At 39.1% G+C, this 23,701-nt stretch overlaps 2 protein-coding genes across 3 annotated transcripts in view, besides 5 other annotated features; one reads left to right on the top strand and one right to left on the bottom strand.

Annotated features, from left to right (window-relative positions):
- Nucleotides 1-14,300: 14,300 nt before the first annotated feature.
- On the bottom strand, nucleotides 14,301-22,307 carry C3orf38 (chromosome 3 open reading frame 38). 2 transcript variants are annotated; one of them, NM_173824.4, is made up of 3 exons: nucleotides 22,081-22,307; nucleotides 18,795-19,036; nucleotides 14,301-16,245 (listed from the first exon to the last, which is right to left on the bottom strand). In NM_173824.4, exons 1-3 carry the CDS (start codon nucleotides 22,211-22,213, stop codon nucleotides 15,631-15,633), a joined length of 990 nt encoding a protein of 329 aa, NP_776185.2. In that variant the 5' UTR covers nucleotides 22,214-22,307; the 3' UTR covers nucleotides 14,301-15,630. The 2 variants fall into 2 exon arrangements, with proteins under 2 accessions (NP_776185.2, XP_005264802.1); XM_005264745.6 differs by having other exon boundaries at nucleotides 14,301-16,242.
- Nucleotides 22,396-23,701, top strand: part of CGGBP1 (CGG triplet repeat binding protein 1) — a 97,921-nt gene continuing 96,615 nt past the window's right edge. Inside the window, exon 1 of the mRNA NM_001195308.2 lies at nucleotides 22,396-22,555. The gene's annotated coding sequence lies outside the window, so the exon portion shown is untranslated. The remainder of the gene's footprint in view (nucleotides 22,556-23,701) is intronic.
- Nucleotides 22,452-22,501: an enhancer, noted in NCBI's record as "active region_20117". NCBI's record gives its function as "activates an Ori minimal core promoter by ATAC-STARR-seq in GM12878 lymphoblastoid cells {active_cell/tissue: GM12878}" and the evidence as "EXISTENCE:reporter gene assay evidence [ECO:0000049][PMID:35858748]".
- Nucleotides 22,612-22,711: a silencer, noted in NCBI's record as "silent region_14548". NCBI's record gives its function as "represses an Ori minimal core promoter by ATAC-STARR-seq in GM12878 lymphoblastoid cells {active_cell/tissue: GM12878}" and the evidence as "EXISTENCE:reporter gene assay evidence [ECO:0000049][PMID:35858748]".
- Nucleotides 22,712-22,901: an enhancer, noted in NCBI's record as "active region_20116". NCBI's record gives its function as "activates an Ori minimal core promoter by ATAC-STARR-seq in GM12878 lymphoblastoid cells {active_cell/tissue: GM12878}" and the evidence as "EXISTENCE:reporter gene assay evidence [ECO:0000049][PMID:35858748]".
- Nucleotides 22,712-23,375: a biological region, named in NCBI's record as "H3K27ac-H3K4me1 hESC enhancer GRCh37_chr3:88198041-88198618".
- Nucleotides 22,798-23,375: an enhancer, noted in NCBI's record as "H3K27ac-H3K4me1 hESC enhancer chr3:88198041-88198618 (GRCh37/hg19 assembly coordinates)". NCBI's record gives its function as "activates a minimal SCP1, AML or CMV promoter by ChIP-STARR-seq in naive H9 embryonic stem cells {active_cell/tissue: H9 hESC(naive)}" and the evidence as "EXISTENCE:reporter gene assay evidence [ECO:0000049][PMID:30033119]".

Genomic DNA, 23,701 nt, shown 5'->3' with positions numbered 1-23,701 from the left:
CTCACTCTATTCGTTCCCAAGAAATAGCTGTGGTTAAAAAAAAGCCCAGCACTGCCCCCCTTTCTCTTTTGTCATATGAGGTACAGATGCTGGCTCCTCTTCACCTTCTGCCTTGAGTGGAAGCAACCTGAAGCCCTTAGATGCAGATGCTCAAAGTTGAACTTTCTAGCTCTCCAGAACTGCAAGCCAAATAAATCCTTTTTCTTTATAAATTACCCAGCCTCCGGTATTCCTTTATAGTAACACAACACAGACTAATACACTCAGTTTTTCATAAACATTCAAAAGTATTATATACAGAGTCATTGATTTCCTGCCTCTTATAAGTGGTTGATTAGGAGTATCTAATGCAGATATTTTGATATCTGTATAACAGTTCATGCCATGGACAACCAGTGCTCTCTGTACTATTGGAAACAGAGTCCTTAGCATTTTTAAATATAATCACACTAGAGAGCCAATTCCAGAAGTCCCAAAACCAATTTAGGAAGCTCATCCTTACAGTTCTGTTCCTCTAGAATCACTCCTGGTATTAGGATTCTTCAGAGAAACAGGACCACCAATAGGATAGATAAATGATAGATAAATATGGCAGAGGATTTGTTAGAGGAATTAGCTTACATGATTATGGAGGCTGAGAAGTCCCAACCTGGAGAATGAGGGAAGTTGGTAGCATGGCTTGGTTCAAATCCAAAAAGCCTGAGAACCAAGGGGCACTAGTGCACATCCTGATGCCAAAAGGCTGGAGAACTTGGAGTTCTGATGTCCAAGAGCAAGAGAAGCTGGGTGTCTCAACTCCAGATGAGACAAAGTGAGCAAATTGCCTTTCTTCTGCCTTTTTGATCTATCCAGGCCCTCAGACAATTGGATGGTGCCTGCCCACATTACATCAGGGTAGATCTTCCATACTCAGTCCACTGATTCAAATGCCAGTCTCTTCTGGAAACACCCTTACAAACATACCGAGAAATAATGCTTCACCAGCTATCTGGGTATCCCTGAATCCAGTCAAGTTGACTCCTAAAATTAAGCATCACAGGAATATAGGACAGAGTCTAGCAGGGGTCCAATGTGGAGCTTCCAGTCCCTCTCCCATGGAGTCATAGATGGCTTTATCTCTTTCCAGTCACAATGTGGGACAATACTTATCCCAGCCTTTGGTGTTCAGAGTTTTTATTAGGGCTTGATCACCTATTTATTGTTTGTGTGGCTGAACTTTAGTCTACAGTTCCTCCCAGAAGTTGGGCTAATAGCTTTGAACTCAAGTTCCTCTGGAGGTAGGTAAAAATTGATATGGCACAGCCCAAAACCTATCATAAATCACATTGTTAGACTGTCCCACAGCCAAAGCCCTGAGGAGTGACACTCTTATGTTGCAGAACATTACAAGAGCCTAGAGCTAGGGGCAAAGGTCAGACCTCTCATTGGGTAAGGTTGATTATACACTAACAACTGCCTTCATTATTTGTTTATACCTGTATCTGTTCTGACCAGATAATATATGCACATAGCACAAAATTCAAAATATATATGTGTGTGTGTATGCGTGTGTACATGTGTATATATATACGTACATTCTCACATCTGCAAATAGTAATTTTTTTTTTTTTTTTGAGACTGAGTCTCGCCCAGTCACCCAGGCTGGAGTTCACTGGCGCGATCTCAGCTCATTGCAACCTCCACCTCCCGGGTTCAAGCAATTCTCCTGCCTCAGCCTCCCGAGTAGCTGGGATTACAGGCGCCTGCCACCATGCCAGATAATTTTTTGTATCTTTAGTAGAGACGGGGTTTCACCATGTTGGCCAGGCTGGTCTCGAACTCCTGACCTCATGATCCACCCCCCCCCCACCCCCCAGCCTCCCAAAGTGCTGGGATTACAGGTGTGAGCCACCACACCCAGCTACAAATAGTAATTTTTTAAACAGTCATAGTTATTATTAAAATTTGCACTATACAGAATTTTCTGAAAACACTCTGAATGCTCTTAAATATGAACTTATAAAAAGAAAAATACATTTAATGGAAAAACATGTTAATCTCTTTAACTTCACCATTACTCTGCGAAATCTAACAATCGAGTCCAGAAGGCTATTTTAAAGGTATTTGTGTACATCTCTTGGGACTTTCCCTAATGTGCAAGTCCAAGAGCTTCAAAAGTGTCAGCCTCAGAAAGACTAACCTATAAAATGAAGAAAGACATTGCAGCAAGCCATCTCAATTTAGGTATAGAAGAAATATAACATATTTATACATTTACTAATTATGATAGTGAATACAAAAAATACAAACATTATTTGATGAAAATCTCCCCTTCTCCCAAAATATATTGTGCAAAAACATGTCTTTACACACTTCTAGAAGACTGACCACTGACAGATGACATGGCATTTAAAAAATGTTAGCAATTGTAATTCATAGAAAGTAAACAAAATAAAATATTTAAAAAAATTTTTTTTATTCCAGTACTGAAAATGTTTCAAACGGATTCTTGTTTGGGTGGAAAGTAAAAGGAGACAGTGATCACTGACTAAATTGCCATAGCACAGTAGTGATGAAAAGACACAAAATATGGGGCACTGAATGGTTTCTTTTTTTTTTTTTTTGAGATGGAGTCTCATTCCGTCACCCAGGCTGGAGTGCAGTGGCGCGATCTTGGCTTACTGCAAGCTCCGCCTCCCAGGTTCACGCCATTCTCCTGCCTCAGCCTCCCGAGTAGCTGGGACTACAGGCGCCCGCCACCACGCCCGGCTAATTTTTTTTGTATTTTTAGTACAAACAGGGTGTCACCATGTTAGCCAGGATGGTCTAGATCTCCTGACCTTGTGATCCACCAGCCTCGGCCTCCCAAAGTGTTGGGATTACAGGCGTGAGCCACCTCGCCCGGCCGAATGGTTTCTAAAAAGCAGAAGTACACAATTCCAGTTCAATTGCTTGTGTAAAAAGGTGATTATTGTTTGTTTGTTTTTTAAAGAAGTCATATAAAATATAAAGTCAGGTCAGCATTAAGCTTTTAGTGTACAACTTGCTTGAACCTTTATAAAAATGGTAAACGAGCAGCTTTACTTTTCCTACAATGTTGTTCTATATTACAGTAATATATTCATAAAGAAAGGAAGTTTGCACCAGGCGCAGTGGCTCATGCCTGTAATCCTAGCACTTTGGGAGGCTGAGGCGAGTGGATCACCTGAGGTCAGGAGTTTGAGACCAGCCTGGCCAACATGGCAAAACCCAATTTCTACTAAAAATACAAAAAAAAAAAAAAAAAAATTAGCTGGGCATGGTGGCAGGCGCCTGTAATCCCAGCTACTTGGGAGGCTGAGGCAGGAGAATCACTTGAACCCAGTGGGTGGAGGTTGCAGTGAGACGAGATCGTGCCCCTTCACTCCAGCCTGGGCAGAAGAGTGAGACTCCGTCTCAAAACAACAACAACAAACAAAAAAACAAAAAAGGAAGCTTGCCACTCTTCTGCTATTCTAAGAATAAACATGTGGTTTACATTCTTGTTTTCACTGATCCACATGTACCTTTTTTTTTTTTTTGGTTACATACTTTCTCTCAAAATAAACTTTTCACTCAGGTCACCAAAAAATCTACCTGTAGATGATGTTAAATGGGTTCCCAATCTGTCCTTTGCATTCAACTCAGGGAAGCATTCTTTCATGTTATTATATTGTTTTTATGCTGTATTTAGATACAGTTTTAAATAAGCCCCCACATACCTTATGTTTCTGTGGTAAGCAAAAATAATGAGACGATGGGGGAAAAAATGAAGCTCTATAAGACTGAGCCTTTGCACGAGAGTTGTGTAATCTTAAAATAATCAGATCTCTTTGCCACTAAAATTCACGTAAGACTTGGAGTGATGGCTCTTCAAGACACTGGATTAGCTGATAGGCCACTTGCGCAAGGTATCTACAATCAAGGAAAAGCCCTTTACTAACATTAACACCATCTCAAGGAAATGTTTTAAATTTATGTCCTTATCTCAAAAATTTCACGTGAATACTTTTCCTCTATATAGGCAGTATTGTAGGAAGAAGTTTTGTAACTTCCTGTCCAGTTTTTCATATGGCATTATAAAACTGGACTCAAGAGATCAAAATTTGTGTTTTCTAGCCCCTTCAACACTAAATCACCATTAGAATGGTTTACGGTTGATAATTAACTGCTGTGTTTTAAGAAAGGGATGTGTTGATTGGCTTTCTTGTATAGTCCTTTCATTTACAATCACCTTCGCTACTGCTCAAATAGCTGGTGCTCCAGCATTAAAAGTCATGATTCACCCTTTCTAGTCCACATCAAAACTTACTTCCCAGCATAGCCTCATTGTCTATATTCAAAGGTTTCCAGGGATAAACAGAGTAAGTTTTTACGGACTTCTCACTGATATATGTAACACACATCATATGATTCATACACTGTACAGCAGTGGTTTTGTCTGAATAATACCATCTAGAAGGCAAATCATAGGAATTGTTCTTCCACATTGTCACTGAATTATGTAATTTATCAACAATACTTTTCCAATAGCATTTGTTCCCCCTGATTATATTTGTTATTACTGCTAACACTTTTTACAAGCTTCTCAGCAACAATGTCTTATTTTGTACTTTGTTTAAAGGAATACAACTCTGGGTGATGTTTCTGTAATTTTGGATTCATCCATAATATTGCATGACAAATTTTAAACTGAGACGTGAAGTAATTACCTAACTAAATGCATTACCAGAGAAATTAATGTACTTTAAAAATGATGTGATAACTTTGATGGTGACATGTAGATATTTGACAGGCAATGTACTGACCAATGGTGAATGGAATGCAGGCCAAAAAAAAATAAGTTCAGATAGTCATTATCCTTCCTTATCTGTATCAGCTGATGTCTGAAAACATCATACACACAGAATCTCTTCTAAAGCACATACTTTTTTTTTTTTTTTTTGCGAGACAGAGTCTCACTCTGTTGCTCACGCTGGAGTGCAGTGGCGCAATCTCTGCTCACTGCAATCTCCGCCCTCCGGGTTCAAGAGATTCTCCTGCCTCAGCCTCCCCAATAGCTGGGACTACAGGAGACTGCCACCATGCCTGACTAATTTTCGTATTTTTAGTAGAGATGGGTTTTCACCATATTGGCCAGGCTGATCTTGAACTCCTGACCTTAGGTGATCCACTCACCTAGGCCTCCCCAAGTGCTGGGATTACAGGTGTGAGCCACGTGCCCGGCCAAAAGCACATACATTTTCTCATTCTGTATTCACACTGAAGTTATTTCCATTGGAGCATTTTTACGAATGATATTTGTTACTATTTTCATCATTTTTCAATAAGCCAATTTTGTGAATTGGGAAAATGAGTATCAAATATAAAATGTAAATTTAACAAGCATTAAAATTAATACGAAAGAACATTAGTAAGGTGAACATCCGGTTAACCTCATGTTGGCTGAGGTTAAAACTGACCTACAGTCTTCACTGTGTACATAAGCATCTACAATAAACTAACACTTAAAAACTTAAGGGGATTGTCATGCAAATCATCTTACATTTAAAATGTGCAAAATATGTGAATTATGTGCATAAGATTTGCAAAATATATGTGAAAGATGTGGGAAAAAGTTGCATTTTTTTCTTTTTGAAATTGCAAATCTGTTGAACAGACTACCAACAATCATTATTTTGTAAGCAGCATTGCTCTCTACTCCAAAGGTTAAGGTCTTACCCACAATTCAGACAGATGTCCAAAGATGACAATGGTTAAAATAGTAAGAAGGGCATCAATGAGAGATCAGAGAAGTATTTTCTAATAAAATATTTATTAAACAGTAAAAAGTACTTATACAAGTTAAGCAAAGTGCAAATGATATATGAACTAGAACAAGCTACTTTTCGTACCAGTGCCTCCTGTTGAAACGCCCAACACAAGTGCTCAATAAATGTCCACCATATTGAAACACATTTAAGAGAGAACACTGGCCTGGGCACGGAGGCTCACAGCTGTAATCACAGCACTCTGGGAGGCCAAGGCGGGTGGATCACAAGGTCAGGAGTTTGAGACCAGCCTGGCCAACATGGTGAAACCCTGTCTCTACTAAAAATACAAAAATTAGCCGGGCATGGTGGAGCATGCCTGTAATCCCAGCTACTCAGGAGGCTGAGGCAGGAGAATCGCTTGATCCTGGGAGGCGGAGGTTGCAGTGAGCCGAGCTTGTGCCACTGCACTCCAGCCTGGGTGACGGAACAAGAATCCGTCTCCAAAAAAAAAAAAAAAAGAGAGAGAGAGAACACCAATGCAATCTTAAAAATCAACTCTTTTGCCCAATCCTAAACTTGTGCTCTAGCATAATGTTCCTAAAATGACAATTATGGCTTACATTCTGCAATTTCTCTTAATTCTTAGGAGTCTATTGATGCCCAGTAATTTTGTGGTTGCTGTGACAATTCCAGCATTAGAGTTCTTGACATGCTTAAATTTTCTATTGTTATCTTATTTCTGTATTCCGGGCTCTTTCTTTCATAAATCTGAACTAATACAATCAATGCAGTCAAAATAGCAAAATCTGTTGTCTTTGCTAAACAAACACTTCTATTAAACTATCTGGAATAACTTTCAATGACTTTATGAGCAGCACTCATCCAGAACCATGCTTCCTACAGAAACAGCCTATCCTGAATCTGCCATTTGTCTCCAATGCCACTCTTAAATATTTGCCAACTCCTATTACTAAGTCTCTTCAAAGGATTACCAGCAGTCTTAATTTCACTTTCTGTCAAGCCACTTTGTACTTTTCTTCACTAAAACATGGAAATATATTTTGAACATAAGCAACAAGACAAATTTTACAGAACAGTTTGAAACAACTATAGGACTTCCAGTGATTAGGACATAGAAAAATATTTAAAGAATTCACACTTTTTTCCCTTTTATATTCTAGGTATGACAGAATAGTTTCATCATTTTATAATTTTGTAGACAGAAATACACATACTACTCATACATACACTTAAAAATGTATATGTATTTCTTTGAAAAGATGAGCATCACTTATGAGGAAGCAAAATAATAGAAAATTTTCCCAACAAAGAACTACAAATTCCTTTAAAAGCAATATTCTTGAACTGCTGTGAAGACATACAGCCACAATGCTACATAACTTTAAAATCACAGCAGACCTTAGAAACCATCTAATCTAGATGGTCCATTTTTTCATGTGAAGAAATTGAGGATTCAAGTTGAAAATCTTTGAAATTAAGGAAATGGCAGTAGTCAGACGGTAAACAAAGTGCAAGAAAAACACATGGGCTTTGCTGTTAAAAACAAAACAGGCCAGGTCACCACAACAAAACTATGTGACCTTCAGCATGTTACTAAGCTTTTTTCGGGGTTGGGGGGTCAGGGGAGCACTTCACCTTCTTTGTCTTTCATAAAAGTATAAGAACTAGGGGCCAGGCGTGGTGGCTCAGGCCTGTGATCCTAGCACTTTGGGAAGCTGAGCGGGCAGATCACGAGGTCAGGAGATCGAGACCATCCTGGCTAAGATGGCGAAACCCCATCTCTACTAAAAAATAGAAAAAATTAGCCGGGCATGGTGGCAGGCGCCTGTAGTCCCAGCTACTCGGAAGGCTGAGGCAGGAGAATGGCGCGGACCTGGGAGGCAGAGCTTGCAGTGAGCCGAGATCACACTACTGCACTCCAGCCTGGGTGACAGAGCGTGACTTGGTCTCAAAAAAAAAAAAAAAAAGTATAAGAACTAGGACAGGCGTGGTGGCTCACGCCTGTGATCCCAGCACTTTGGGAGGCCGAGGCGGGTGAAACACCTGAGATCAGGAGTTCAAGACCAGCCTGGCCAATATGTTGAAACCCCATCTCTACTAAAAATACAAAAAATTAGCCGGGCGTTGTGGTGGGCGCCTGTAATCCCAGCTACTCGGGAGGCTGAGGCAGGAGAATCACTTGAACCCAGGAGTGAGCTGAGGTCGTGTCACTGCACTCCAGCCTGGGCAACAAGAGTGAAACTCCATCTCAACAACAAATAAAAGTATAAGAACTAGATAATTCTATCTACCAGGGTGTATTAGAACTCATGTATTATGATTCCAGAAGATAACTTTGGTTTTATTCATTAAACATATTTACTGAGCATCTAATATATGTTATATGCTAGGTCTTGTTTTTAACAGATAAGCAAAGGTCTAGGAATATATAAAGCTTTGAATACAAAGTAGCATCACTTCCTTATTTCTATCTTTAATAAATATTTAATATCTAGTCTCTGTGCAAAGCAATACAAATATAATGTGAGTAAAACAGTTACAGTCCCTGTTCTCAGCTTAAAATTTACTGGGGGAGATACATAATAAATTAGTAAATTACCAAATAATATCTAAAGTGCTAGACTCAAACAAACAAGGTGCTCTGATAAATACTGAGAATTTAGATAAGAGAATACATTTAATCCAAGATAAAAGGCAGGCAGCCTCAAAGGTGAAAATGAAGCAGCCATGCAAAAAGCTTGGGAAAGATTATTCTAGACAATGTACACAAAACTCCTGCAGAGGAATAATGCTTGATTTATTGAAGAAATTTCATTATTAAACTGTTTGAATCATAGTTCTTTTCTTTCTACAATATATTATCCAACTGCCTGTAATAAAAAATAAAAATAAATATTTTTTTTTTTTTTTTTGAGACTGAGTCTCACTCTGTAGCCCCGGCTGGAGTGCAATGGCACGATCTCAGCTCACTGCAACCTCTGCCTCCTGGGTGCCAGTTCAAGCAATTCTCCTGCCTCAGCCTACAGAGTAGCTGGGACTTCAGGAACATGCCACCACGCCCAGTTAATTTTTGTTTTTGTAGAGACGGGGTTTCACCATGTTGGCCAGGCTGGTCTTGAACTCCTGACCTTGTGATCCGCCCGCCTCGGCCTCCCAAAGTGCTGGGATTATAGGAGATAGCCACTGCGCCTGGCCAAAAATTAAGTTTGGATACGTGGGCATAAAACAGAGGTCTAAGTAAGTACAGGATAAAGAGAAAGCCTACTTAGTAGATGATTGTACCAAACAATGTGTGAAAGTGAGTGGATCAAACTAGGTGGCGATGAATGGCAGATTATGAAATCTGGATTTTATTTTGGAGGTAATGCAACACCACTGAAAGTTCTGCACATGAAAGTTGTACTTTAAGAAAATTTTAATGTCATAAATAGGCAACAAATATTAAAGCAGAGAAATAAGATTAAAATTAGTGAAAGGTTAGGTAAAGAGAACCTAACAGCAGCAGCAGAAACAGAAAACACTACAGATACGCTACATCCAGATGTGGCAAGAAATTGAACATATGAAACAAAGACTGTCTCTGACACTAAAAGCACAATGGTGTCATAAACAGGAGGGGAAAAAGACTAGAGATTGTGGTGAGTTCAAGAGATTTGATATAAATTGTTACATATGTTACCCAATTATCTTTATGAAATATTGTTTTACATGAATATTCTGTATTTTTCTCCAAGATGTTATAAATCACTAAATAAGCAATTCGAGATATAATTACAAGTAGAATACAATATGAAATAATACTCCTACTCTGCATTTAGACAAGCAATATAGATTAAAGGAATCTTTGTTTTGGAAATAAATGCCAGCAAATGAAAACCTTCACATTGAAGATAATCAGTCAAAAAGTATTCCTCAAAACCCTACTACATATGAGGAAATATAGTGTAGTCACAGTATTTATCGCATACTTTGATAGCCTAGGAAGTTATTCAATCCTGTTTTCAGGTAAAAGAGGGATAATCGCATCTATCTCATGTAGCTGCTCACAAGATTGAATGAGTAAATACATGCAATGTATATGGAATAGTAACTGGCATGTAATAAGCACCCCAAATTTGACTTATCCTGTGCAAGGCACTGGGAAAAAGAAGACTGCAAAATAAGTAAGAATCACCGGTTCTAATAATTTACAATTTAGGGAGGCAAAGGTAACTTACATGTAACAATTTGAGAATTAAGTGTGATACTAATTAGTATAGTAAAAGATGAGACATGGAAAAGATGCAAACTTATAAACTAAATGTTTTAAGGAAAAGGCTTTCCTGGTTTTTTTTTTTTTTTTTTTTTTTTTTCAGAAAACACTGAATCAGACAAGTAACAGCTGGCAGTGGGTGATTTTTCCTTCAATCCTTAAATTTATTAATTCAAGTATAACTAATTGCACACCTGAGACTTAAGATATCTACAAACTGAAGATGAAAATTACTGATCAAGAGCCTCACCAAATGACTCACAAAAAAAAAAGAAAAAGAAAAAAAAAGAAGATTTAGCAGTACTGGCAATAGAAGTTAGAAGCTACCAAACTCTAGGCCAGTGATTTCATGACTAACACAAGTAGTTCTGGAGTTTCTGGTTTTATATACCACAGTAAATATTACATTTAATTTCAATATTTACATCTTACTGAAAGGCTACTGGAAAGGTTCAGACTAGAAAAATAAAGCTAAAAGCATTTAGCACATTCAAACAATTTGGAAACTTTTGTTTCCAATTCTAAATAAAGTGGCCTGTCAAAATATCCTGTATTTTGTATTGATAAAATCTATATGGCGCCAGGCATGGTGGCTCACACCTGTAATCCCAGAAATTTGGGAGGCCAAGGCGGGCAGAACACGAGGTCAGGAAATCGAGACCATCCTGGCTAACACGGTGAAACCCCGTCTCTATTAAAAATACAAAAAAAATTAGCCAGGCATGGCGGCACGCACCTGTAGACCCAGCTACTCGGGAGCCTGAGGCAGAAGAATCACTTGAACCCGGGAGACAGAGGTTGTAGTGAGCCGAGATTGTGCCACTGCACTCCAGCCTGGGTGACAGAGCGAGACTCCGTCTCAAAAAAAAAAAAAAAAAAAAAAGGCAGGGCGTGGTGGCTCACGCCTGTAATCCCAGCACTTTGGGAGTCCGAGGCGGGCGGATCACGAGGTCAGGAGGTCGAGACCATCCTGGCTAGCACGGTGAAACCCCGTCTCTACTTAAAAAAATACAAAAAATTAGCCAGGCGTGGTGGCGGGCGCCTGTAGTCCCAGCTACTCAGCAGGCTGAGGCAGGAGAATGGCGTGAACCCGGGAGGCGGAGCTTGCAGTGAGCAGAGATCGCGCCACTGCACTCCAGCCTGGGTGACAGAGCAAGACTCCGTCTCAAAAAAAAAAAAAAAAAAAAATCTATATGTCTTAGCTAGAGTCATATGGTTATTTAAAATTTCAATTAAAAATTTTTCCAGACCATATAAAAGGATCTGAATCCTTTGACAAAGGGCCTAAAGAAGTTTCCACCTTAAGAAAACTTAAACCCAGAGACTGAGATCTGAATCCAATGTAAGTTTATGTAAATAATCTACTGATGTATTTTGTCTTGCACTTGATTCAGTGACTTACCAACAGATGCCCAATAAATATATGCCAAATAAACTTGAAGAGAATCCCAATCCAGAAAGTGTTGTTTCCTAGCATGGACGCTGTGCTATCTGCATCAAAACTGGGTAAATAACAAAGGTTATGAATAGGATTTTGGGGGTGAGAGGAGAGGCAGGAAGAAGAGGTATAAGGTGAGATCACATACATAGATAGGCCCGGAAGAAGAAATGTTCCTGTTTTCAAAATCCTTCATCAGAATTAGCAATATAAAATTATTTCTAAATAATTTCTTAGGAAAAGTTTTTGTAAAAGTCTTTTCTTAGGAAAAGTTTTGTAAAGAAGAAATGTTCCTGTTTTCAAAATCTTTCATCAGAATTAGCAATATACAATTATTTCTAAATAATTTCTTAGGAAAAGTTTTTGTAAAGGTCTGGAGAATCATTTCTAAATTTTTTTTTCATGTTTTTATCACTTTCTCCAAAGCATGTTAATTATTCTTCATTAAATTTATCTTGCCAAAATAAAATGAATTCTGAATTAATATTTTTACGTTCCACTTGACAGTATTTTGGTTGGTTTTGTCTCCATGTCTGGAAACCAAAATTCACAAGTTACAAACTATCATAAACTAACATTTCCTAGAGATTATCCTTTCATTCATAAAAAAGGTTTAGTCCTCTAACTTAAGGACTTAAAAATACCACAAAATCTTTTATAAATATTTTCACTTTTTAACACAGTAGAGTAGTCGTCTGGGGTAAATGTAATTATTACGGCAGGATTTTCCAGACATGGAGAATAAGACACACAGCTGTTTTAGTGAAACCCACTGACTCAATGAAATATGTAAAAACTCTAAAAATTCATGCAAACATTTTTCATGAGTAAGAACACAACACTCAACTTGTATGACCAACTTCCACAACCCAAATGAAGCAGTGAAGAAAAGGTCATCTAAGTTTGTAAAAACAGAGATATCCTAAGGATAACATTACAGTGGGATGTGCATTCATTTTTATGATCTACTTAGCCGTATAACCTATTTTGTTAAAACGCAGTTTTTTACTTTTTTCTAAGCCACTGTTTTTTAAATCTTTTTTCAGACACTATTACCATTTCTTTTTTTTTTTTTTTTTTTTTTTTGAGACAGAGTCTCGCTCCGTCACCCAGGCTGCAGTGCAGTGGTGCAATCTCAGCTCACTGCAATCTCCACCTCCCAGGTTCACGCCATTCTCCTGCCTCAGCCTCCGAGTAGCTGGGACTACAGGCGCCTGCCACAGCTACAGGTGCCCACCACCACGCCTGGCTAATTTTTTGTATTTTTAGTAGAGACAGGGTTTCACCGTGTTAGCCAGGATGGTCTTGATCTCCTGAACTGGTGATCCGCCGCCTCGGCCTCCCAAAGTGCTGGGATTACAGGCGTGAGCCACCGCGCCCAGCCCACTATTACAATTTCTTGTTGGTACTAGGTAACTAACCTTCTTTTAGTATGTTACCTTTCTGAAAACCCAGGAACATTTCCTGATCTGCTATCTTGTTTGCCATTTTCAAGTTGATTTAATAAATTAAAGATGGCTTTTCCCCTTATCGTTGGTATTTTTGGTAAGAAGACACATGAAGTACGTTATTTCACATTCTAGATTCTAACAAAGTATCCTAACATAACTATTACAATTTTTAAAAAATTTTAACAAAAAAGGATATTTACTATGTATGCCCTGTTATTAGGCTATGGCAAATTAGCCTACAGAAAGTAAAGGTCCAGATGGTCTCCCCAGTTTGACCACCCAATTATGATGAATTATCTGTAATGTATTCTTCTTTACAACTGACTCCAGACTTTCCAAATACCGGTTGGGTATATCAAAACAGAGAACTACAGCTGGTTTCTTTCTCCACCATTCCCTGGCATAAAAAGACTAATGGGGTTCAATCCTGCACAAGTAGAGTTCAATCCTGGCACTGTGCTTTTTGGCTGTTCTCACAAAAGGCTGATCAAGCTTCAAGCTTCACTAACAGACTTCAGTTCCTCTAGGTCTTTCTCCTCCAAATACTGTTTCTTCATACACTTCCCCTGTAATGTTTTCCAGGTAGCCTCAGGAATCTCAGGGTCTCTTACTGATCCTGGGCTTTTAAAGTCAGTATCTTTCTCCTCACAAATCTGAGTTATTTTGGGGGCCTAAAAGTTTCTGCGTATTCAAGTATGAAATTCAAAGAAACTATGTGACTGAAAAAGTAACACTGATGAGAAGAACCAAAGATAAACTCTAGAAGCGGAAAAGCCTTTTGTACACAGTATATAAGTTGTTTTTGCTCATTCGTTAATGCATTCACTCCAATATTAGGCTGTAGTGTGCCCATATCTAGGGATTCATGAAATAAACATGAAATAAAATAGCATTAATCCTCAAGAATCTCAAGACTATCAAAAAGATTTTACATTTTTAAGGTTGATTCAAAACTATGTGCAGAAATTGCAGCCTTATTTGTGCTTTACACGAACTCAAAAGTTTAATACTAAAGGTACCTAGAGGAAATCCCTGCCCTTTTTGAGTATCTCTAGTAACAAGAATGGTTTTTAATTTTATCCTTTACTTAGGATGTTTACCTATTACACTTTATAATGATATTTCAAACTTCAAACTAAGAAATAAAAGGTAACCCAGTTTTCAAAACTCAAGCAGAGGTATAGGATGGATAAAGATGGACTTGTGACCTGATTGTGTACCTTTATAAAAATATGAGAGGAAATTATTTTGCACACTATTTTCTTTATACTTAATTATATTACAATAACAGTGTAACTAGCAGTTATAAAATTTTCTTTGTTCTCGTTAAATGCCTAAAACTCTAAGAGCAACACAACTATAAATTAAATCTGAACGATACACTATTCTTATAGCAGACAAAAGGGATTTCCCTCCTTTATTAAGTTCTTATTTTAGGACATACCAATTCGTATTCCTCGTAAGAGGCATAGCATTAAAAAAACAAAGATGAGTTTCCAGGCTCCCATTTCCAAAATTCTTATCAGTCTCCCTAGATGATTATAGCAAAGGAAAAAGTAACATGTACAATACGTCATCACATTTCCCAATTGAGTTCTTTTCCAAATGGTAATTTTATAAATTAAAGTAACTAAGTAAATCCATGATCAGCAAACAGTTGCTAGGTGATGAAGAATTTAAACAAAGCATGTAAATAATTTGGCAACTCAACCATGTAACTCAAACCTAGTAACAGGTAAAAAACTAAATATTCTAAGTTATAATGTGGGAGTATATGTATACTTATGTATATGTGTATACACACATTATACATGCATGGGTTGTTTTGGGGTTTTTTTTGTCATCTCTGCCAAGATCAGCCAAGAGGAAGAACGGTAATTCGTTTAAAAGTTAGGAACTGGGCATACCTTTAAAATTTCAACAGCATATTTCCTTTATATTGTATTACAGTAACTGCTCTATAAAACTGTTGTCTGAAGCCTAGGTAAGAATAAAGTCTATTTCGAGAACAGCATTTATCACTGCCCAAAAACAGTAAGGAAAATGTTGCAGATTACAAAAGATATTTAGCTTGGACTACAGCTGATAACTTTGAAAAATGTTTCTCAAATCTTTAAAGAGGTAGTAAGTTTTTCTTCAACTGTTAAATTATTGGACTTTTTTGCAAAAAGAATGTTATTTAAATTTTCTAAAATGAGAACTTTGAGTTTACGTTAAACATCTCTAAAATATTTAATAGTTTTAAAAATATACTACAGTGAGATGCATTTGTAAAATACAATTATCCAGAGTTAGACAAAAGTAAACATGAAACTTAAAGAGGGGAAGCCTGGACCATTATTAATCCTTTCCCACATGAAAAGTGCAGATATTAGCAGAATATTCACTAAGTAAAAGGAAAATATTACCTGGTTTCTAAGGCACACAGTTAGCTGTAAGATCTAAAGTGGGATTTATTTGCATTAAGCTTTCAGAATACTTGCTGCAACTCGGGTAGAAATAGGTAAGTATTCACATGATATGTAAGTCTGTAGTCCAGAAAGGTATTTCAACTAAAATATGTCAATTTTCACATCTGAAATCATTCAGACATTACTGATATAGTATTTGGAAGAGTTTCTGTATAGAAGATTTTTTTCAGGCTGACAGTACTTAGCGCTTTAGAGGGTCAGGTAAACCCAGTTCTCTTTTGTTCAGCAATGTCTCATTTCCACTACCTCAAACTTGGTCCCCAGTTCCACTATCCGAAGCCTGCTTTACATTATGTCGTACTTCATTGGTACCACATACAGTGATTACATTATAAAAGGCCTCTAGATCACTTTGTTCAAATTTAACAGATGGTTTCGGTAATGTTCCAGGAGCAAGGGAACTCTCTCCCATAATTTTCAGGTTGATAAATTTGATTTTCCAAGTATTCTCCACAAAAGGGCAGCGGATGAGTCCAAAAATTTGTTCAAAAATGCCCAAACAAGTGTTTCCTCGATGGACAGTCCCAGCAACTCCAACCATAACCAGCCCATGAGGAGAAGATGCACATTTCAGTCCATGTGAATCTAGGTTGGGGCTGAGAAAAAGAAATTCTTCTTTTACTAGTGACAGCAAACGAAGGCTCACGATTTCTGCTCCATGGTAGTCCATAACATTTTGTTCTGATGTGTTGTAATAAAACCTAAGCTTCACATCATGCCAGAAGTGCTGTGGTCCCCATTCATCTTGAGGTGGTCCTAGAAAAGGATTCTGAGAATTAAGAAGTCCAAAGAACCAATGACAGAATTCTTCTCCTAGGCGACGAAAATCAACTTTTTCAGCTTTTTTATCTTCTTTCACCTGCTGATTGAAACAAATAAAATAAATACAAAATAACACTAAGGTTTAACTTTCATATCTATTTTTCTATCTAGCCTATTAAGTTTGAATGAACCCATTACACCAGAGAGAAATGAACCATATGTGAACTTGCTGAACCCATTATGCATAGTAAAAATCTTTTTTCAAGAGGAGAAAAATCATTTTAGAAATTTCCAGCTTAAATTGCTGAAAATTCAGCTAAGAGAGTAAGGTTTAGTAAGGCCAATTTAAAAATCAGTATGAACTTGGCGGGCGTGGTGGCTCACGCCTGTAATCCCAGCACTTTGGGAGGAGGAGGCAGGCGGATGGTGAGGTCAGGAGTTTGAGACCAGCCTGGCCAATATAGTGAAACCCCGTCTCTACTAAAAATACAAAAATTAGCCGGGCATGGTGGCGTGTACCTGTATTCCCAGCTACTCAGGAGGCTGAGGCAGGAGAATCACTTGAACTTGGGAGGTGGAGGTTGCAGTGAGCCAAGATAGCATCACTGCACTCCAGCCCGCGCAACAGAGCGAGACTCCGTGTGAAAAAAAAAAAAAAATCAGTATGAACAGTCATATATAAAAATATATAAATTATATGATGATTTATGTAAGTGTTTCCTCAGATTGTGGCAGTGTTTTCACAGGTATATATGTATATCACAGGTATATATGTGAAAACCTTCAAAACGTTCACTTTAAATGGATGCATTTTGCATATAAATGACATAAAGTTAATATAAGCAAGCATTTTCATTGTCTTTAAATAGATACTCTTACGGTGATTGAAACAGGTTATTTTCTATAACTGGGATTAATTTTATTCTATTATTTCTCTTTTTTCACAGAAAATGTTACTGTAAGCTGGGCGTGGTGGTTCATGCCTGTAATCCCGGCACTTTGGGAGGCTGAGGCAGGCAGATCACTTGAGGTTAGGAGTTCAAGACCAGTCTTGACAACATGGTGAAACCCCGTCTCTACTAAAAACACAAAAATTAGCTGAGTGTAGTGGCGCATGCCTGTAATTCCAGCTACTTGGGAGGCTGAGGCAGGAGAAGTGCTTGAACCCAGAGGGTGGAGGCTGCAGTGAGCTGAGATCATGCCAACTGTACTCCAGCCTGGGTGACAGGGCAGACTTTGTCTCAAAAAAAAAAAAAAAAAGTTACTGTAAAAATCTACCTGATACACTAGATCTCATTCATCCATGTGTTCCACAACACAGTACTTTACTGAGATGTATGAGATCTTAGGTTTACTGAGCACCTGCTATTTAATACACTGGGCACTGTGCGTGGCACTGGTTATTTGCCTAATTTAACACACCTAGTATATTGCAGACCCTAATTTGAAGTCGTATTTGTATGATTTCAAAGTCAATGCTCTTATCAGTACATAAAGTAAGAAAGCTCTTAAAGATTCTTTCCTAGTGTGAAGGCAAAGCTTTCTCACTGTGAAACCTCATTAATTCAAAAAATGTGGTATGTAGTTTAAAAATCTGCAAATTACATAGAGGTTAATTCAAGCAACACTTAAATATTTGTGCAGTATCTAAAATGTACAGTGGAGATAATATAAAGAACAGAAACAGCCAATGTCCGCTGGAGAATATTTCTACAATAGGACTTTTTCTAGTTAAAAAAAAAAAAGTATAAAAAATATTTAGGTTCCAATGTGGGGGCGGGGGCATCAAGAAAAATAGCTAACGCATGCTGGGCTTCATACCTAGGTGATAGGTTGATAGGCGCAGCAAACCACCATGGCACATGTTTACCTATCTAACAAACCTGCACACGTACCCTGGAACTTAAAAGAAAATTTTTTTTAAAGTAAAATTTTAAGTTCCTTTCATGACATTTTTGCAATACCAAAAACGTCTTAAAAGTGAGAAAGAATTTGCAATAAAATTCTTCTAAAGTGAAAAAAAATTACACGGAGCTAAAGTTAAAATTAACCTTGCAGTTTACTCTCTAAAAATCCAATAGTCCTCATTTGATGATGCTGATATTGAAAAATACTTTCTCACATATCAATAGATGATTATATATGCATCACTATATGTCAGAAATATTTTTGCTCTTAGTTGCTTTACTGGTCTCTTCCTTCCTTCAGGATTGATAGGATATGAAATAAAGTTAAAATTATAAAATATAAAAAAAATAGGCTGGGCATGGTGGCTCATGCCTGTAATTCCAGCTGAGGCGGGAGGACCACTTGAGGTCAGGAGTTCAAGACCAGCCTGGGCAACATAGTTGGGACCCTATCCCTACCAAAAAATTTTAAAAATTAGCCAGGCATGGTGGTGCATGCCTGTAGCCCTAGCTACTCAGGAGACAGAGGTGGGCAGAACACTTGAGTCCAGAAGTTCAAGGCTGCAGTGAGCTATGATTACACCACTGCACTCCAGCCTGGGCAACAGAGCAAGAATCTCTTAAAAAATAAAAATAAAAAAACCCCACAAACATTATTAACCATGTTCCCCACAATCTAGGATTATCAACAAAGTTTCAGACAGAACAAAGGTTCAGAATACAACCATAAGATTTATTTTACCTGTTGAAATAGGTGGATGTCCTCTGTCTTTGTAACTGGCTCTGGCGTTTCCTTCAATTTCAGTTGTGGTTGCTTTTGCCAGTAATCTTTTGCATGCTGAATAAGATTGTGTTTTTCAGTAGCTGGAGGTATAACAATCCCCTGTGTTGCCAAGTACTTAAATATAACTTCTCGGTGGACTTTTCTACGCCTCAGAAGTTCTTCTGCACTTTGACTGTATGCTAATATTGCATGAACAGCATCTAGAAAGAAATTGCAAAGATTAATAAAAAATCATGAGGCACTTACAAATTTGTGCCAGGTGGGCAGAAACTCTATCAAATATGTTTATAAACTCTCGTCACAGCATTATTGCTGTTACATGATAGTCATCATTTTTAAAAAATAGGAAGTCCGTTGTCAGTTTTCTTTTAACATCTTTATGCCTTAAACTTCCCTTACCTAAAATCTCTTCTGTTCACTTCCCATAAGTGATAGTGAAAGTTTAGCATTTCCTCTTAAAGAATTACATTTTAAGAAAACATTTAAGTGAGAAAAAATATTTTTTCTAATAAGGCCAACAGTCCTAAATTCATGCACAACCTCTAAAAATAGGGACAATTACAACAATATTTTAGATGTCAAGGAATTTTAGTCATATCTCCTCACTCTACAGATAATGAAAGTTGAGGCCATATTAGGTATCAATGATTGTATTTCTTTTTTTTTTTTTTTTTTGAGACGGAGTCTTGCTCTGTCGCCCAGGCTGGAGCACAGGGGTGCGATCTGGGATTACTGCAAGCTCCGCCTCCCAGGTTCACGCCATTCTCCTGCCTCAGCCTCCCAGGTAGCTGGGACTACAGGCGCCTGCCACGACGCCCAGCTAATTTTTTTAGTACAGACAGGGTTTCACCGTGTTAGCCAGGATGGTCTCGATCTCCTGACCTCATGATCCGCCCGCCTCGGCCTCCCAAAGTGCTGGGATTACAGGTGTGAGTCACCAAGCCCGGCCCAACTATTGTATTTCTAGAAAGTGGCAGAACCAGGGCTTGTATCTTTATATATTTTAATTTTTATTCTTTTGAGACAGAGTCTCACTCTGTCACCCAGGCTGGAGTGCAGTGGCGCGATCTCAGCTGACTGCAACCTCCACCTCCTGGGTTCAAGGGATTCTCCTCCCTCAGTCTCCCAAGGGGTTACAGGTGTGTGCCACCACACCCAGCTAATTTTTCTATTTTTAGTAGAGACGGGGTTTCACCATGTTGGCCAGGCTGGTCTTGAACTCCTGACCTCAGATGATCCGCTTGCCTCGGCCTCCCAAAGTGCTGGGATTACAGGCGTGAGCCACCACACCTGGCCCACTTGTATTTTAAAATACAAGACCAAAGAATATTTCTGACATGTGTGAGTCATACAGAATGGCAATAAAACGAACTCCCATATGCATACCCCCTAGCTTAGGACATAAGAAATTACTATCTTTGAGGCCCCCATTTCGTCTCTTCCCTAATGCTATTCCTCTTTATTCGCATCCACCTCAGAGTAGCTACTATCCTAAATGTTGCTTTAAAATTTCCCTTCTTTTATAGTTGTACAGCATAAGTATGTATCCCTGAACTATATTTAGTTTGGTATGTTTTAAATTGTGCTATAAATTCAATCCATCCATATACAGTATATAGTTTTCTGTAATCAGCTTTTCATTCAATATTTTCTGGATTAATTTGATATACATAGCTAACTCATTTTCACTGCTATATCATAATTAGTTATATGACTGCACACAAGGTATCCAACTATTCTTCTGTTTACAGACTTCTATTCTGCGTCCAATTACAAACGCTGTTACTTTGAACATTCTCATACACATCTCCCAGTGCTCAAAAAGGGGCAAGCAGTATGAGCATCAACCTGGAGCTTGTTAGAAGCAGAATTTCTGGGCCTCCCCTAAAACTAATGAGTCAGAACCTGCATTTTAACAAGATCCCTGAGAGATTCAAAAGCATATTCAAGTTTGAGAAGACTAGGTCTCGAGTATGTGTCTAATCTGCCATTTTAGGAGATGTCAAATTTGTTTTTTCAAAGTGGCAGTTTTAACTTAAACTCCTTCACTAGTTGTCAACGAGTTGCTTCACCTGATCATGAACACTTGAAGTTTATAGTTTATATATATATATATATTTTTTCCAATCTGGTACACAGAAAAGACAACTTCTGTTTCTGGTTTTCATTTCATTAGTTTCCAAAGATGCTGAGTATACTTTCATATGCTTAAGGGTGATTCCCCACCCCCTGCCCCAGGAATGTTTCTTCAAGTCATTTAAACGTTTTTGAACTGGGAATTTTTTTCTTATTTGCTTTTAGATACCCTATAATTAAATGCAGCATTTTATCCATTATAATTTTAAATTCACACTCACCATGATTATAAGAAGGTGAAAGCCATGTAAAATAAACGCTGAAGAACCATATAAGTCTAAAGCTATTTTCGGTCTTAATTCTTTGGAACTTCCTCTTTTAGTGTCCATGGTTCGGAGTGACAAATGACTTTCTTCAATGCCAAAAATGAAATCCGACTTAAGCAGAAAAACCCAGTTTTATAAGGGCAGAATCTTTTAAAGATAATCATATACTAATATGGGAATCTGGAATTTTTCACGTTTTGAAGTAAAATTCAGCAAATTTAAAATAAAACTAGCTACCCGACACACAAAATGAACAAACGCTTTACATTTTTATATGGACTAGTCACAATCAGACTTAGCACTAATACCCCTTAAAAATCCACCGGTATATGTATTTAGCTCGCTTGTGTGTATTCCTAGTACGAAAATCATCTCAGAAAAATTTTGCCTCCAAAAGGAGACATGGATTCAAGGTGCCTGCCATTTAATTACAGTAGTTGCTTTTTACCAGAGACATACAAAATGTTTGCCATCCTCCTCCCACTCAAACTTGAAGAAAAAAGCCCGAGCAGCAGCTGACTCTTCAGCTGATCGAAACTGAAAATGCAAAACATTCTGGCTCCCCAGAAAATTTTTTAAAATTTTTAAAAATTTAAATGACTTATTCCGAATCCTTGAATCAACAAGCGCTGCCCATAATATTCAATGGATAAAACCTGGAAGCCGTGCCATTATCACCGCCACCACCTCCCCGCCTTGACCCGGCAGCCCAAGTCGGCGTAGTGGTTCCAGAGCTGTGGATCTGCGGCTGCGGCCAACATTCCCGAGGATTCTGCCTAAGCGGGGTAGGCGTGAGGCCGGGGAAGGGGCGGCAGCCTTCTAGGTGAAGGGTCCGCCCTTACCTTGGCGGTCCTGAGGCTGCACCAGGCGGTTGGTGACAGTGTCGCATAGGGCCATGATCTCGTCGTTGTCCAGTAGGCCAAGTAGGTTACGGCAGCCCTCCATCTCTGAAAAGCTGAGTCCCGACATCTCCATCCCCGGGACTGGGGGGGAAAGACAACGGCAACAATGTCGCCCCTACGGCCCACTGGGCCCGCGCCTGGCAACAGACACCGGAAGTGCCTTTCTTGTTGTTCTCCGTCGAAGGGCCTCCAGTATTCCAGGCCCCTGGGCGGAAGTAATCGCCAAAGAGGTCAATCAGGAAACGCAGTGCCCTCACTTGTGGTTCCGGGCTGGGGACGGAGTGAAGTCCCACGTATCTCAATTAAGGGAAGTGCTGGGTTTATATGGAGAACATAGACTATCCGCAAGGGAGCTGGTTACCGAAAGAGAAGTCCCTCCTCCAAAAGAGCGCCTTGGAGGGCTGCGCAGGTGCAGGTGCGTGGAAAGCAGCCCGCCACCCGGGCGCACCGCGAGCTCCCGTGATGCCGCGGGGCCGGCCAATGGAGGCGGCTCCTCCCCGCCCGCTGGCCGGGCCCCCGGGAGCGCTTGAATGTCTTCTGCGGCCACTTCTGAGTTGGGTGAGCCGGTAGTTTGGTTCCTTAAATTAAGTAAATTAAAATAATTTAGTTTTGTTTAACATTATAGTATGAAAAGTTAAAAATAGATAATCCACTGTGCCTGGCCGCCTTCCAGCGGACTTTCCTCTCAAACACGCCGGGACCGTCTCTTGCCTCCATTTCCCTCGTTGCCGGCTCGGCCTTAGAAGAGGCGATGTCGCGCGCAATTTAAGGTTGGGGGTTCTGGACGCCAGATTGCCAGGGTTTTACTCCGCCATTTACCCTGACTGTAAGCAAGCTCCTTAGCCTTTTCCCCTTCAGTTTCCAATGGAAGTGGATCTAGTGGAGATGCCTACCTCTTGGGGCTGTGGGGGCGGGGTGAACAGTGCATGGGGCTCTTACTAAAGAGCTCTTACTAAACTTTAGCTGTTATTACTATTGGCATGGTAGCAACACACATTTACGAGAGAAATAGTCATGCTCTGTTAAACAGGAATCAGACTAAATGCATTGTCACTTGCCTTTTTCCATTTTTAAGTCCTATTTTTGATCAGTTGACATTTAATTGGGGTATTGCCATTTAGTAGCTGAAATGTACACATCTGCAGATCCTGGTGAGCAAATTTAACTTTGTTTAAAATATAGCTTGGCCGGGCGCGGTGGCTCACGCCTGTAATCTCAGCACTTCGGGATGCTGAGGCGGGCAGATCACAAGAGGCCAGGAGTTCGAGACCAGCCCGGCCAACATAAAGAAGCCCCGTCTCCACTAAAAATACAAAAAATTAGCCTGGCATGGTGGCGGACGCCTGTAATCCCAGCTACTCGGAGGCTGAGGCAGGAGAATCGCTTGAACTCTGGAGGCAGAGGTTATAGTTAGCCGAGATCGCGCCACACTCACTGCACCCCAACCTGGGTGACAGAGCGAGACCCTGTCTCAAAAATAAATAATAGCTAAATATCAGTCATATATTGTACATGTAGTCCTTAAAGCATTCAAAATATGGTGAAATTGTCAGTGGATGTT

The sequence above is a fragment of the Homo sapiens genome, chromosome 3 (assembly GCF_000001405.40).
Source record: "Homo sapiens chromosome 3, GRCh38.p14 Primary Assembly".
NCBI lineage: Eukaryota > Metazoa > Chordata > Mammalia > Primates > Hominidae > Homo > Homo sapiens.
Note: the sequence above shows the minus strand (reverse complement) of the source record. Positions and strands in the feature narration are given on the sequence as shown.